Source organism: Homo sapiens, chromosome 7 (assembly GCF_000001405.40).
Source record: "Homo sapiens chromosome 7, GRCh38.p14 Primary Assembly".
Classification (NCBI taxonomy): domain Eukaryota; kingdom Metazoa; phylum Chordata; class Mammalia; order Primates; family Hominidae; genus Homo; species Homo sapiens.
Window position 1 is genome coordinate 87,724,319 of NC_000007.14, and position 13,896 is coordinate 87,738,214.

The 13,896-nt window shown below is 36.7% G+C and overlaps 1 protein-coding gene across 8 annotated transcripts in view, besides 1 other annotated feature; it reads left to right on the forward strand.

Moving 5' to 3' along the window:
- The window catches only part of RUNDC3B (RUN domain containing 3B), a 203,899-nt gene that overhangs the window by 95,921 nt on the left and 94,082 nt on the right, over nucleotides 1-13,896 (forward strand). The window lies entirely within an intron of this gene.
- Nucleotides 9,511-9,686: a silencer, noted in NCBI's record as "fragment chr7:87363145-87363320 (GRCh37/hg19 assembly coordinates)". NCBI's record gives its function as "represses an EF-1alpha promoter that drives an FKBP-Casp9 reporter gene in an ReSE screen in phorbol 12-myristate 13-acetate-treated (for megakaryocytic differentiation) K562 erythroleukemia cells {active_cell/tissue: K562(+PMA)}" and the evidence as "EXISTENCE:reporter gene assay evidence [ECO:0000049][PMID:32094911]".

Genomic DNA, 13,896 nt, shown 5'->3' on the forward strand with positions numbered 1-13,896 from the left:
GCTAAAAGCAGGGATAGTTGTGTATTTTATAGAAAAACATTTCAGGATATTATTTCAATATTTTGGATTGTTTCTAAATTTAAGGCTAAGTCTAAAATATATTTAGATTATTAAAGATGGAAGTTTATTTCAATATTCTGTATATTTAAATGACTAATATTTAGTTTTACAAACCAGAATTTTCAAGATAAATCTCAATTTCACAGTGAAAAAAATAATCACTTGTGATTTAAATGAAATTTCATTAGTTAAAAAATTTTCTTCCTGAATCTGTAATAGAAAATAATAATAATAATAAAAATTCTACCACCTTGAATGAATTTCATTTTGGCATCCTAAAATCCATACATACAGCCAGGTTTCTTGTCATAGTAATCAAAATAATCTGCCATTTTCATTTCACTACAGTAGGACACTTCTATTTTTATACCTGATCTTCATAATCATTATTTTAATTACATGTATAATAGTTCATAGTATTTGTGTATTATGATTTAACACTCAACATTAGATTACTTCGAATTTTCAAATTTTACTTGATACATATTATTGAGTAATATTTTTGTGATAATTTACTTTTGTTTTTGAGTGATTTTTTGAAAATATAGAAAAGAAATAATTATTCATTTGAATTATTAATATTACAATAATAAATTAATTTTCATATCAATAAAAAACAAAGGCTTATGACTCTTGCTAGTCAAAGCCATTTTATTTAACAGAACTGTGCATTTTATAAGCCCTTGAAGTAAATATTTATACTAATTTTAATGTGATTGTTTTTTATTATACTTTAAGTTCTAGGGTACATGTGCACAACGTGCAGGTTTGTTACATATGTATACATGTGGCATGTTGGTGTGCTGCACCCATTAACTTGTCATTTACATTAGGTATATCTCCTAATGCTTTCCCTCCCCACTCCCCGCACCCCACAACAGGCCCCGGTGTGTGATGTTCTCCTTCCTGTGTCCAAGCATTCTCATTGTTCAATTCGCACCTATAAGTGAGAACATGCGGTGTTTGGTTTTATGTTCTTGTGATAGTTTGGTGAGAATGATGGTTTCCAGCTTCATCCATGTCCCTACAAAGGACATGAACTCATCCTTTTTTGTGGCTGCATAGTATTCCATGGTGTATGTGTGCCACATTTTCTTAATCCAGTCTATCATTGTTGGACATTTGGGTTAGTTCCAACTCTTTGCTATTGTGAATAGTGCCACAATAAACATATGTGTGCATGTGTCTTTATAGCAGCATGATTTATAATCCTTTGGGTATATACCCAGTAATGGGATGGCTGGGTCAAATGGTATTTCTAGTTCTAGATCCTTGAGGAATTGCCACACTGACTTCCACAATGGTTGAACTAGTTTACCGTCCCACCAACAGTGTAAAAGTGTTCCTATTTCTCCACATCCTCTCCAGCACCTGTTGTTTCCTGACCTTTTAATAATCGCCATTCTAACTGGTGTGAGATGGTACCTCACTGTGGTTTTGATTTGCATTTCTCTGATGGCCAGTGATGATGAGCATTTTTTCATGTGTCTGTTGGCTGCATAAATGTCTTCTTTTGAGAAGTGTCTGTTCATATCCTTTGCCCACTTTTTGTTGGGGTTGTTTATTTTTTTCTTGTAAATTTGCCTGAGTTCTTTGTAGATTCTGGATATTAGCCCTTTGTCAGATGAGTAGATTGCAAAAATGTTCTCCCATTCTGTAGGTTGCCTGTTCACTCTGATGATAGTTTCTTTTGCTGTGCAGAAGCTCTTTAGTTTAATTAGATCCCATTTGTCAATTTTGGCTTTTGTTGCCATTGCTTTTGGTGGTTTAGACATGAAGTCCTTGCCCATGCCTATGTCCTGAATGGTACTGCCTAGGTTTTCCTCTAGGGTTTTTGTGGTTTTAGGTCTAACATTTAAGTCTTTAATCCATCTTGAATTAATTTGTGTATAAGGTGTAAGGAAGGGATCCAGTTTCAGCTTTCTACATATGGCTAGCCAGTTTTCCCAGCACCATTTATTAAATAGGGAATCCTTTCCCCATTGCTGGTTTTTGTCAGGTTCGTCAAAGATCAGATGGTTGTAGATATGCGGCATTATTTCTGAGGGCTCTGTTCTGTTCCATTGGTCTATATATCTGTTTTGGTACCAGTACCATGCTGTTTTGGTTACTGTAGCATTGTAGTATAGTTTGAAGTCAGGTAGTGTGATGCCTCCAGCTTTGTTCTTTTGGCTTAGGATTGTCTTGGCAATGCAGGCTCTTTTTTGATTCCATATGAACTTTAAAGTAGTTTTTTCCAATTCTGTGAAGAAAGTCATTGGTAGCTTGATGGGGATGGCATTGAATCTATAAATTACCTTGGGCTGTATGGCCATTTTCAGGATATTGATTCTTCCTATCCATGAGCATGGAATGTTCTTCCATTTGTTTGTGTCCTCTTTTATTTTCTTGAGCAGTTGACCTCTCCTTGAAGAGGTCCTTCACATCCCTTGTAAGTTGGATTCCTAAGTATTTTATTCTCTTTGAAGCAATTGTGAATGGGAGTTCACTCATGATTTGGCTCTCTGTTTGTCTGTTATTGGTGTATAAGAATGCTTGTGATTTTTGCACATTGATTTTGTATCCTGAGACTTTGCTGAAGTTGCTTATCAGCTTAAGGAGATTTTGGGCTGAGATGATGGGGTTTTCTAAATATACAATCATGTCATCTGCAAACAGGGACAATTTGATTTCCTCTTTTCCTGATTGAATACCCTTTATTTCTTTCATTTGCCTGATTGCCCTGGCCAGAAATCCCAACACTATGTTGAATAGGAGTGGTGAGAGAGGGCATCCCTGTCTTGTGCCAGTTTTCAAAGGGAATGCTTCCAGTTTTTGCCCATTCAGTATGATATTCGCTGTGGGTTTGTCATAAATATCTCTTATTATTTTGAGTTACGTCCCATCAATACCTTCCTGGGATGCAAGGCTGGTTCAACATATGCAAATCAATAAACGTAATCCAGCATATTAACAGAAACAAAGATAAAAACCACATGATTATCTCATGGATGCAGAAAAGGCCTTTAATGTGATATTTTTAAAATTAGATACTTTTTAAAATAGTTCACTTTAGTAATCCAATTGTGCTTATTTGTATTTCTTTGATTATTAATGTTTGTATCAATGTTATTTACTTTTGTAAATTACATTGGAGAAATTGTTAAGTTATTCATTTTTATGAGTAGGCAAATTAAATACCTGATTGCATGCATCTGTCATTAGCTACATTTTTTTCCCAGATGAATTTCTAAAACAAAGATCGACTAGGAAAAAAAATCTGCAATACTATTTTAAAATACCTTTTATTCCTTGAGCGTGTATTGAGTTTTTATTTCTTAGTTGTGGCATATAAAAATATTTTTTATCTTATCAAGAGGATGCATGTCTCTTTGGGATTAGATCCTTAAAAGAATATGACACTGTAATGAGTATGACACATGAGCTCTTACAAGTCTGATATTTGACAGATCAAGTTAAATTAAGTAACAAAGAGACAAGTACCATACGGTAAGCTTCCTAGGAAAAATTACAGTATACTTCTACTCTTATTATAATGATTCATTATGCTCATTTTTATATAAAAGAAGAGGAAATGAGGAATCATTATGAGCAAAGGAAAAAGTATAGCAGAGAATATTATTAAAGTTAACTAAACCTATCTTCTTCTATTCATCTAATTTAAGCATTTGTGAAGGGCTTATATGACCAGATTACAATAAAATTATATAGAATATAAAAATCTTCTTAGTCTTATAACTCCAGTGTTTGCAGCTCATTACTGCTAAAATTATTTTCTATGATAGAAATCTGCTATAAAATTCATACAAGATCCTTTGTCTGGCTTTAAGTAACATTTCCTGTTTTGATTTATACAAATCTCTTCTCCAGACCTTCTTCTGCAATACCATAGAGTCAAAACACTTCAAACTTTCTCTCATTCTCTGAATAGGCTGTACATCAAGTTTTGCATTTTTCAGATTCTTCGGATGTCTTTCTCCATCTGTGTTAGTTTCCTATTGTTACCTGTAACAAACTATCACAAACTTAGTGGCTTAAAAACAATACCAATTATTATTTTCCAATTCTGAAGAAGTCTGAGATGGGTCAGCAGGACAGCAGTTCCTCTTGAGATTCTAGGGGAGAATTAATTTCTTGCCTCTTCCAGTTTCTAGAAGATGTATGCATTACTTGGCTCATGGCCCTGCAACAATTCAACCTCTGCCTCTTTTGTCACATCTTCTTCTCTGAGGCTGATCCTCTCACTTCTCTCTGGGGTTCTTGATTACATCAGACCCATATGGTGGGATAATATCCATTTTAGATATTTAATTTAATGCCATTTGCAAAGTCCCTTTTTCATTTTCAGTAGCATATTTACAAGTCAGGGCATGGATATATTTTAGAAGGCATTATGCTACCTACTACATCTTTTCTACCTAAAAAATTGGTAGTCATTCCTCCTGTTCCAAGTTCAAATGTCACCCCCTCGTGAGATTTTCGCATATCTCCAGATGGAGGTGATGTGGTCTTCCTTCTCTTTCTTCAGGGACTCTAATGACTAATAAACTTGCCTTCTTTCCTTTTGACTCCTTTAATTTTTCTATTCATGAGGGCTGTTTTTCACCAATTTTATTTTCATTAATTTGTCCATCTTGTCTATCCACAAAGACATTTTTCCTTTTTAAAAATCTGTCTATCTTATTAAAGTTTGCTATTTTTCAATATAATAACTTCCATGTATGAAAATATGCTATTTTACACCTTACTATTTGAGGAAGGCCAATAATATATAATAACTGAGGAAAGTGGGGCAAGATGGATGAAAAGAAGGCTCCAACAATTGTCCTCCCTATAGGAACACCAAATTGAAGAACTATCCGAACAAAAAAAAACACCTCCAGAAGAACCAAAAATCAGAAGTGCAATCGCAGTGTGTGGTTTTAACATTATATTAAGGAAAGAGGCACTGAAGAGGGAAAGACAATCTTGAATCACCTACACCAGCCCTCCTTCATCCCCCAGCAATGGCTGAGTGGTATGGAAAGAAAATCTGTGCATTCAGGGGAGGCAGCAAACAGTAATTGTGCGACTTGACGTTGGAACTCAGTACTGCCCTGTCACAGCAGAAAGCAACACAGGGCATAACTCAGCCAGTGCCTACAGAGGGAGCTTCTCTAGCCAGAGGCAAATTCTCCATTTCAGTGGTAGGAGCCTGAGTTCAGGCAAGACCTACCAGTATGGGCTAAAGTTCTTGGGGGTCTTAAATAAATTTAAAAAGCAGTCTAGGCCAAAGAGACTTCAATTCCTGGACAAGTCCTGGTGATGTGCTGGGCTTGAAGTTAGTGGATATTCGGTGGAGATGACCTAGTGAAACACCAGCTAGTGCAGCCAAGAGAGTGCTTGCATCATCGCTGCCCCAAACACAGGCAGCACAGTTTGCAGCTCTGGAAGAGACTCCTTCCCTCCACCTAAGGAGAGGAGAGGGGAGAGTAAAGAGGACTTTGTATTGAAACTTGGACATCAGCATAGCTACGGAAGAATAGGGTATCAGGAACAGTCTTTGAGGCCCCCATTCCAGGCCCTAGCTCCTGGTTGACATTTCTAGACACAGCCTGGGCCAGAAGGGTACCCATTGCCTTGAAAGGAAAGATCCAGTCCCAGCAAGATTTATCATTTGCAGACTTAAGAGCCCTTGGGCCTTCAATAAACATCAGTGGTACCCAGGCAGTTCTCACCACAGGCCTTGAGTGAGACCCAGGGCCATGCTGGCTTCAGGAGTGACCCTGCACATTCTCATCTGTGGGAACCATGGGGAGAGACTCCTTCTGGTTGAGAAACAGAGAATGAATGCAGGGGACTTTGTCTTAGAGATTAGTTCCTAGCTCAGCCACAGTGATGTAGAGAAACAAGTAGGTTCATGGGGTCCCCAGTTCTAGGCCCTGGCTCTTGGACAGCATTTCTGGGCCTGCCCTAGGTGAGAGGAGAGCCTGCTGACCTGAAGAGAGAGAATCAGACCAGGCAGGATTCAGTGGCCCCTTAGTGAACATTGGCAGTAACCAGGCAGTAATTGCCACAGACCTGGGATGGTGGTGGCCATGAGAAGAGACTCTTCTGCTTGAGGAAAAGGGGAGGAAGAGTGGAAAGGACTTTGTCTTACAGTGTGCGTGCCAGCTCAGCCACAGTAGAATAGAGCACCAGGTAGATTCCCATGCTTCCTTTCACGAGGTTCTGTCTATCAGAAGGCATCTCTGGACCCAACCAGGGCTGAAGACAATTCATGTCCCTGAAGGGAAGGACACAGACCTGGTGGAATTTGCCATCTGCTGATTGTAGAGCCCTTGGGCCTTGAGAAAACATAAGTGGTAGCCAGGCAGTAGCCACCTTAAGCCTTGGGCAAGACCAAGTGTTGTGCTGACTTTGGATCTGACTCAGCACAGTCCCAATACTGGTGCTCACAGGGGTGCATGTGTCACCCATACCCCAGGTCCAGGCAGCTCAGCACAGAGAGACAGACACTTTGTTTGGTTGGGGGGAAGTAAAGGAAAAGAACAAGAGTTTCCACCTGATATCCCAGGACATTTTCCCATATCTTACCTAAGAGCACCAAGACAGTACCTGTATAAGTCTGAAAGAGCCACAGTATTTTTGTGCATGGGGTGCTTCCTGATGCCTACGTGGCTACAGTGACCAAAGACTAAGGTCCCAACACCCAAGTCCTTTTTAATACTTGGAAAAACTTGCCAAGGACATGTATAAACAATCCAAGACTGCAAAAATTACAATCAATATCTAACTCTTCAATGCCAAGAAAAAAAAACAATGGACATCCACAGGCATCAAGACCATCCAGGAAAATATGATCTCACCGAATGAACTATATAAGATGTCAGTGACCAATTCCAGACAGACAGAGATATACACAAAATATAAAACAATAAATTAAGGCTTATCACAATAAAAATATCCTTCATTAAAATAAAGACAAGAAGGAAGAAAACATCACAAAACAACCAGAAAACAAATTAAAAAATGGCAGGAGTCAATTCCTATTTATCAATAATAACATTGAATGAAAATGGACTAAACTCTCCAATCAAAAGACATAAAGAGGAGAAATGGATGAAGAAAACCAAGGCCCCAAAATTATGTTGCCTACAAGAAACATATTTCAGCTATAAAGACATACATCCACTAAAAATAGAAGGATGGAAAAAGATATTCCATGCCAATGGAACCAAACATAGAAAAAAAGTTGTCTGTATTTATATCGGACAAAACAGATTTTAAGACAAAGACTATAAAAAGAGGCAAATGTCAGAATATAATGATAAAGGGGTCAGCTCAGCAAGAGAATATAACAATTGTAAATACATGTGCACCCAACAATGGAGCACACAGATTATATAAAGCAAATATTATTAGAGCTAAAGAGAGAGCTAGACCTCAATAAAATAATAGCTGGGGATTTCAACACCACATTTCAGCATTGGAAAGATCATACAGACAGAAAATCAACAATGAAACATCGGGTTGGAGGTGGACTATAGACCAAATGGACCTAATAGATGTTGCACAGAATATTTTATCCAATGACTGCAGAATTCACATTCTTCTCCTCAGCCCATGGATCATTTTGAAGGGTATGTTATGTCACAAAGCTAGCCTTAAAAATTCCAAAATTATTGAAACTATATTAAATAACTTTTCTGACTACAAGGCGGTAAAACTAGAAATCAATAACAGAGAAATTTTGGAAACTATGCAAACACATGGAAATTAAATAATATTCTCTCAAATAACTAGTGGGTCAGTGCAAAATTTAAGAAGAAAATTTAAAAAAACAAACAAATGCACATGGAAACACAACATATCAAAACCTGTGGTATTCCTCAAAAGCAGTACTTAGAATGTTTATAGCAAGAAGTGCTTCAATCAAAAAAGTAGAAAAACTTGAAAAAACTACTTAATGATATATCTTAAAGAACTAGAAAAGAAAGAGCAAAGTAAACCCAAAATCAGTAAAGGAAAGAAATAATAAAACCTGAAAAGAGGGGAGAGTCGGAAAAAGCGTACTTGGAGACCTTACCTTCAAGACTGAAGACTAGTCATCACAAACGGCACTTGGAGTGCACTGAGCCAAGGAACAAAGAAGGCCACATTGGGCACCAGATATTGCAGGATCTGGCCAGCAGCCTGCAATGCAACGGGGCTCTCTGTTGTTAGGCAGATCAGCAGATTGAGAAATAACAGACACACACAAGATAGTGAAAGCTGGGTCCAGGGGGGTCACTGCCTTCTGGTCCCGTGGTGCCAACAATGCACTAGATATACCAGCATTTATTATTAAGTTTAGTGAGGGCGGGGGTAGGTTAGTGAGGGATTTAGGGTCATTTGATTATGAGGTGAGATGGTCACATGGGGATGAAGTAATTCTTTAACATAACATTTGTATGTAGAAGTACAGTACATTTGTATGGAGAAGTACAGTATACAGAGATAAGAATTTACAGTATAATGTGTGTGTAATTTCTAACAGAGCCTTAAAACAGAAACACAATCTTTCCATAACGTATGATTAACAAGATATTAATCAGCAGTAACAATTGCAACAAAAGCTGGTTACAAACAATCCATGGAAACAGGATGTGAAGCTAGACAACCGGTTAGACCAGAAATTCTCAGAAAGGAGTATGCCTTAACCCTAAAGAGGCCTAGAAGAGCCATGGCAAGATGAGGACGTTTATAGCCCTATCTTATCCATATGGACAGGCGCCCCCCCATGCGTCTGTTTATAGGCTCTCCACAAAGGTCGCATTCCATTCCTAGAGCTATGAACATCTGCTTTTCTGGGATGGGAATCTTGGTGATGTGAAACCTCCCTGACTGTACGTCCATTCATAGGCTCTCTGCAGGGGGAAGCACATCATGTGCTGTTGGCTCGTTCTGGCAGTCCAACCTGGCATTGTCTTTACACAATCCTGCATGGAATTTTGTATTTACAATAATTAGGAGCATTTCATCTTTTATTCTGTAGCAATAGTTTCAAGGGGTCTCCCTGCAAGTATGTATTAAAGTTTTACACTATTAAGATAAATTGAACATAATAAAAATTAAAACTTTGTGTTTCAGAGGACACCATAAAGAAGGTGAAAAGATGACAAACAGAATAGGAGACAATTTTTACAGATCATAATCTGATAAGGCAGCGGTCCCCAACCTTTTTGGCAACAGGGACTGGTTTTGTGGAAGACAGTGTTTCCACGGACCGTGGTGGCAGGGAATGGTTTCAGGATGAAACTGTTCCACCTCAGATCATCAGGCATTAGTTAGAGTATCATAAGGAGCATGCAACCTAGATCTTTAACATGTGCAGTTCACAGTAGGGTTCTTACTCCTGTGAGAATCTAATGCCTGAGTGAAGGAGTCGGAGCTTAGGTGATAATGTTCACTGGCCCACCACTCACCTCCTGCCCTGCAGCTCCAGTTCCTAACAGGCCACGGACAGGTTCTGGTTCATGGCCCAGGGGGTGGGGACCCCTGCGATAAGGGTTTTGTATCTACAATGTATATGAAGAACTTTTACAACTCAGTAATAAAAAGACAACTCATTTAAAAATGGGCAATGAATCTGAATAGACACTTCTCCAAGGGGGGTATACAGATGGCTAATAAACACTAAAATGTTGTTTGACATCATTAGCCATCAGGGAAATACAAAACCACAATGAAATAACACTGCATACTAACTAGGATGGGTATGTTCAAAAGATCACTTAATAACAAATCTTGGTGAGGATTTTGAAAAACTGAATCTTTCATACATTGCTGGTGGGAAAAGAAAATTGTGCAGTCACTTTGAAAAACAGTCTGGCAATTTTTCAAAAGGTTAAACATAGAGTTACCATATGACCCAGCACATGACTCCTAGGTGCATGTGTGTCTATATCCATACAGTGGAATGTTATTCAGGCATAAAAAGAAATGTAGTACTGATCCATGCTGCCACATGGATGAACCTTGAAAACCTGCTAAGCTTAGCAAAGAAGCCAGTCACAAAAGACCAGGTAGCATATGATTCCCTTCTTCCTTTAGTTACCAACTTTCTGTCTCCTCATCCTCAATCTCTTTACTATTGCTGGATCAATCCTACCCTTATAGAACATATACCAGTACCTCCTACCTTAAAAAAAAGATTCTCCATTGAACCTATAATTCCCCTCTACCAATGCTAATTTCATGATTACACTTCATCACCAGACTTCTCCAAAGCACTTCTTCACACTGTCATCATTTTCTTACTTTAGAGTCACTCTCTTACCCACTCTTGTCTGGCTTCTGCCCCTCATCACTCCACCAAGAATTTTTAAAAGAATACCAATAATCTACAAGCTACCCAATGTAATGGATATTTCTCTGTCCATACTGTACTCCATCTCCCAGCTACTTCCAGTAGAAGTTGACTACTTCATCGTTCTTGAAAAAATCTCTTCACCTTTAAGTTATACAACATTCCATGGCTTTTCCTTAATCGCTCTGTCTCTTTTTCTGTCATCTTTTCCACTTAACATCTGACTGTTCATATTCTCTGGGCTCAGTCCTGCATTTTCTGCTTTTTTTCCTCTGTTCATTTTTCTCTGTATTCTCTCTTCCTGGAGTTTCGTCCATTCCCCTGGCTTGAAATACCATCCATATGACCATGATACCACATTTAAACCTCTAGCTAGATAGTTCAGATATACTAATTTTTTTTCCCCTGTAACTCTGTTCACCCTTTCTTAGCAAATGTTATCACTGCCCACCTACATAGTTGATTAAGCAAGAATCTAAAAGTCATACCTGATTCCTCTTTCTCCCTCATTCCCTGTAATTAATCCATAAGCAAGTCTTATTGATCCTACCTCCAAATCTATTTTGAATCTATTTATTTACCTTTATCTCCATGGCTCTTACAGTCATCTAGACCTCTTTTATCTGTTGCCTAAGGCTCACCTGTTGGCCTCCTGACCTTCCAGTTTGCCCCCTTTCAGTAGCCATCTAGCTTCCAGCTGATCTTAAAAGTAAAAGAGATTATGTCAGCTCCTACTTAAAACATTGAAATGATTTCTTATTACATTAGCCAGAAGGCTCTGTGGCTGTCACATTTCCTGGAGTCAGATCCTGGTTTCCCTACTCTAGCTGTGTCTATCTTGGACAAATTGCTTAATCTCTCTGGAGAATAATATGTAGCGGCAAAGTTAAGAAGATGACTCATGTAAAGTTATTACTATGCCTGCCACTCAAGAAGTGTTATTATTATTATTAATGTTCTGTGGCCTGCAAAGCCCTGTGTGATCAGACATCTGTGGGCTAAGGTATCAGGTTAAATACTTGAGAATGCCTTACTTAATGACTTTCCAAAGTTGGGCTTTCCTTCCATTTGTCTCTATCTCAACAACCTCTTTATTTACTTTATATTTATCATCATCTGTAATTATCTTTGTCTTTTGTTTCTTGCTTTTCTATTCCCCTAGACTATATGCTTCATAGAGAGGATCTAAATCTAACTTATTTACCATTGTAACTATAGTACCTCGCACAGTTCTTGTCACATAAAAGGAATTTAATAAATATTTGTTTATTAAAATAATTACTGAATCTCACATTCTTGGCAAGACCTTTGGAGGTTGACTTTTTCATCAGTTTTTCATTTTGATTCAATTTGACTTTGAATATAACATCTGTTTATAATGCAGGGATCTGTTTTATATGTCATGAGGGAGAATTTTCTTATATCCCCTTTCAGTAGTTTCTTACATTAAATTGGGGGAAGAGAACAAGCATGCCAATAATGAAATTTCTTTGGTTTATAAGACAAGCTTTCTCATATTTTAATATTGTGCTTTCAAATATGTAGGATAACTTCTGACTCCCACAAAAGGAAAATTTGAAACATCACATTAGATAGTATCAACATAATTTATATTTATTATTCACCTTGGATCCCATCCAGAGGATATTTGTTATTGAACTACTTAAAATTCCTTAAAATATTCTTACAGAATGGACACCAAGGTGGCATTATAGGAATATATTTCAATTAGAGTTAAATTATATGTGGTAAAAGAAAAGCATATTCTTATAAGGGCATTATTTTAAATACTTTTCTAGTCACTAATGTTTTTCTAATCAACATATAAATACTTGGAAACGGTGGTATACCTAATAAGATCAGGAAGTTTTTTTCCCAGATCACAGTAGTATCAAATAGTTGCTTGTAATTTTTCCTCACTTCTGTAATATAAAACTATATTTAAAGGTATAGTCTCTAATATAAAAATCTTTAAATGGAAGTTTCATATGTATTTTTTACTTTGGTACTTTCAACATTTATAATATGTTGAACTTAAGCAGTACAATGTTTTGGTTAGATTCTTCTCATTTATACATATACATATATGTATTATATATATTTATATTTATATATGTTATATATATGTATGTGTGTATATATATACCTATATATATATATATATATATATATATATATATATTTTTTTTTTTTTTTTTTTTTTTTTTGAGAAAGGGTTTTGCTCTGTCACCCAGGCTGGAGTGCAGTGGGACCATCTCAGCTCACTTCAACCTCTGTCTTCCTGACTCAAGCCATCCTCTCACCTCAGCCTCCCAAGTAGCTGGGACTGCAGGCATGTGCCACCACGTCTGGCTAATTTTTTTGTATTTTTTGTATAGGTGGGTTTCACCATGTTGCCCAGGCTGATCTCTAACTCCTGGGCTCAAATGATCTGCCTGTTAAGGCTCCAGAAGTGCTGGGATTACAGGCATGAGCCACCAGGCCTGGCATAAAAATTTTCTTTAGAACAAAAAATATTTTTAACTGAAAAAAGGGAATTTTAAGTATATACCTTACTATTATTGGATTAGTCATCTCAGGCTTTACTCCTGGCTCATTTATTTTATGATCTTGGTTATATAAGCAAAGTTTAATGTTCCAATTTTTCAATGAGGTAAAATGAAAAGGTTGAAATTTTACCATCTTTTGGAATATTTGAAAGTATTGACCACAGGAATCAGATTTTTAGTCTAATTATTGATATATTAGTTTGCATAAGAGAAGAAATTAATTTTTCGAGACAGCTTCTACCTCTTTCATACACATGAATGAAGTCTTTGATTAAATGATAAAAATATTATCTTCTCAGATCGTTTCAGTTTTCTAAATACTGAATTACTTTAAAATATATTATCTTAAGCTCAGAAGTACATCTTCTGAAAAATAATGTTTTTCTTAACCAGAACTAATAATTTAAAAGTTCAGCATATAATGGGCAATCCTCTTAACTAGCCCTTCCTCTTCCATTTTTCCTTTCCTCTTTTGCTGTTATATTAAATCATATCTTACACTTAAGATATGATTTTTTTCAGTGGAATTATTGATTTTACATATAGCAACCATTTTACTTATCTTAAATCATTCGCTTAGAAAATTTACTTATTTACTAATGAGTAAAACTAAAGTGAAAAACTCATTAAAACATTATTATATGCACACACATAAAAGACCTTTAGTTTTTAAAAAATTTCTCAAACCAGTTAATTTTTTGCCGTGGTGTTCTTCAACACTCCCTAGTACAAAGGTGCCATTAGAAAGCAAGCAAGAATAGTTTTGAGCTGATTTTTAGAATGTATTTTTTAAACAATGGTAGGTTCAAGATGAGGAATAAAAGAAGTAGACCTTTTCTTATATAAGAAGTACTAGGAATAATGGGTTATTGGCAGTATCAAAAAAACAAGATTCTTTTCCAAATTCATATGTCTCATAGAATTTAGTGGTCTGAAACCATTAGAAGCATAGTTCTT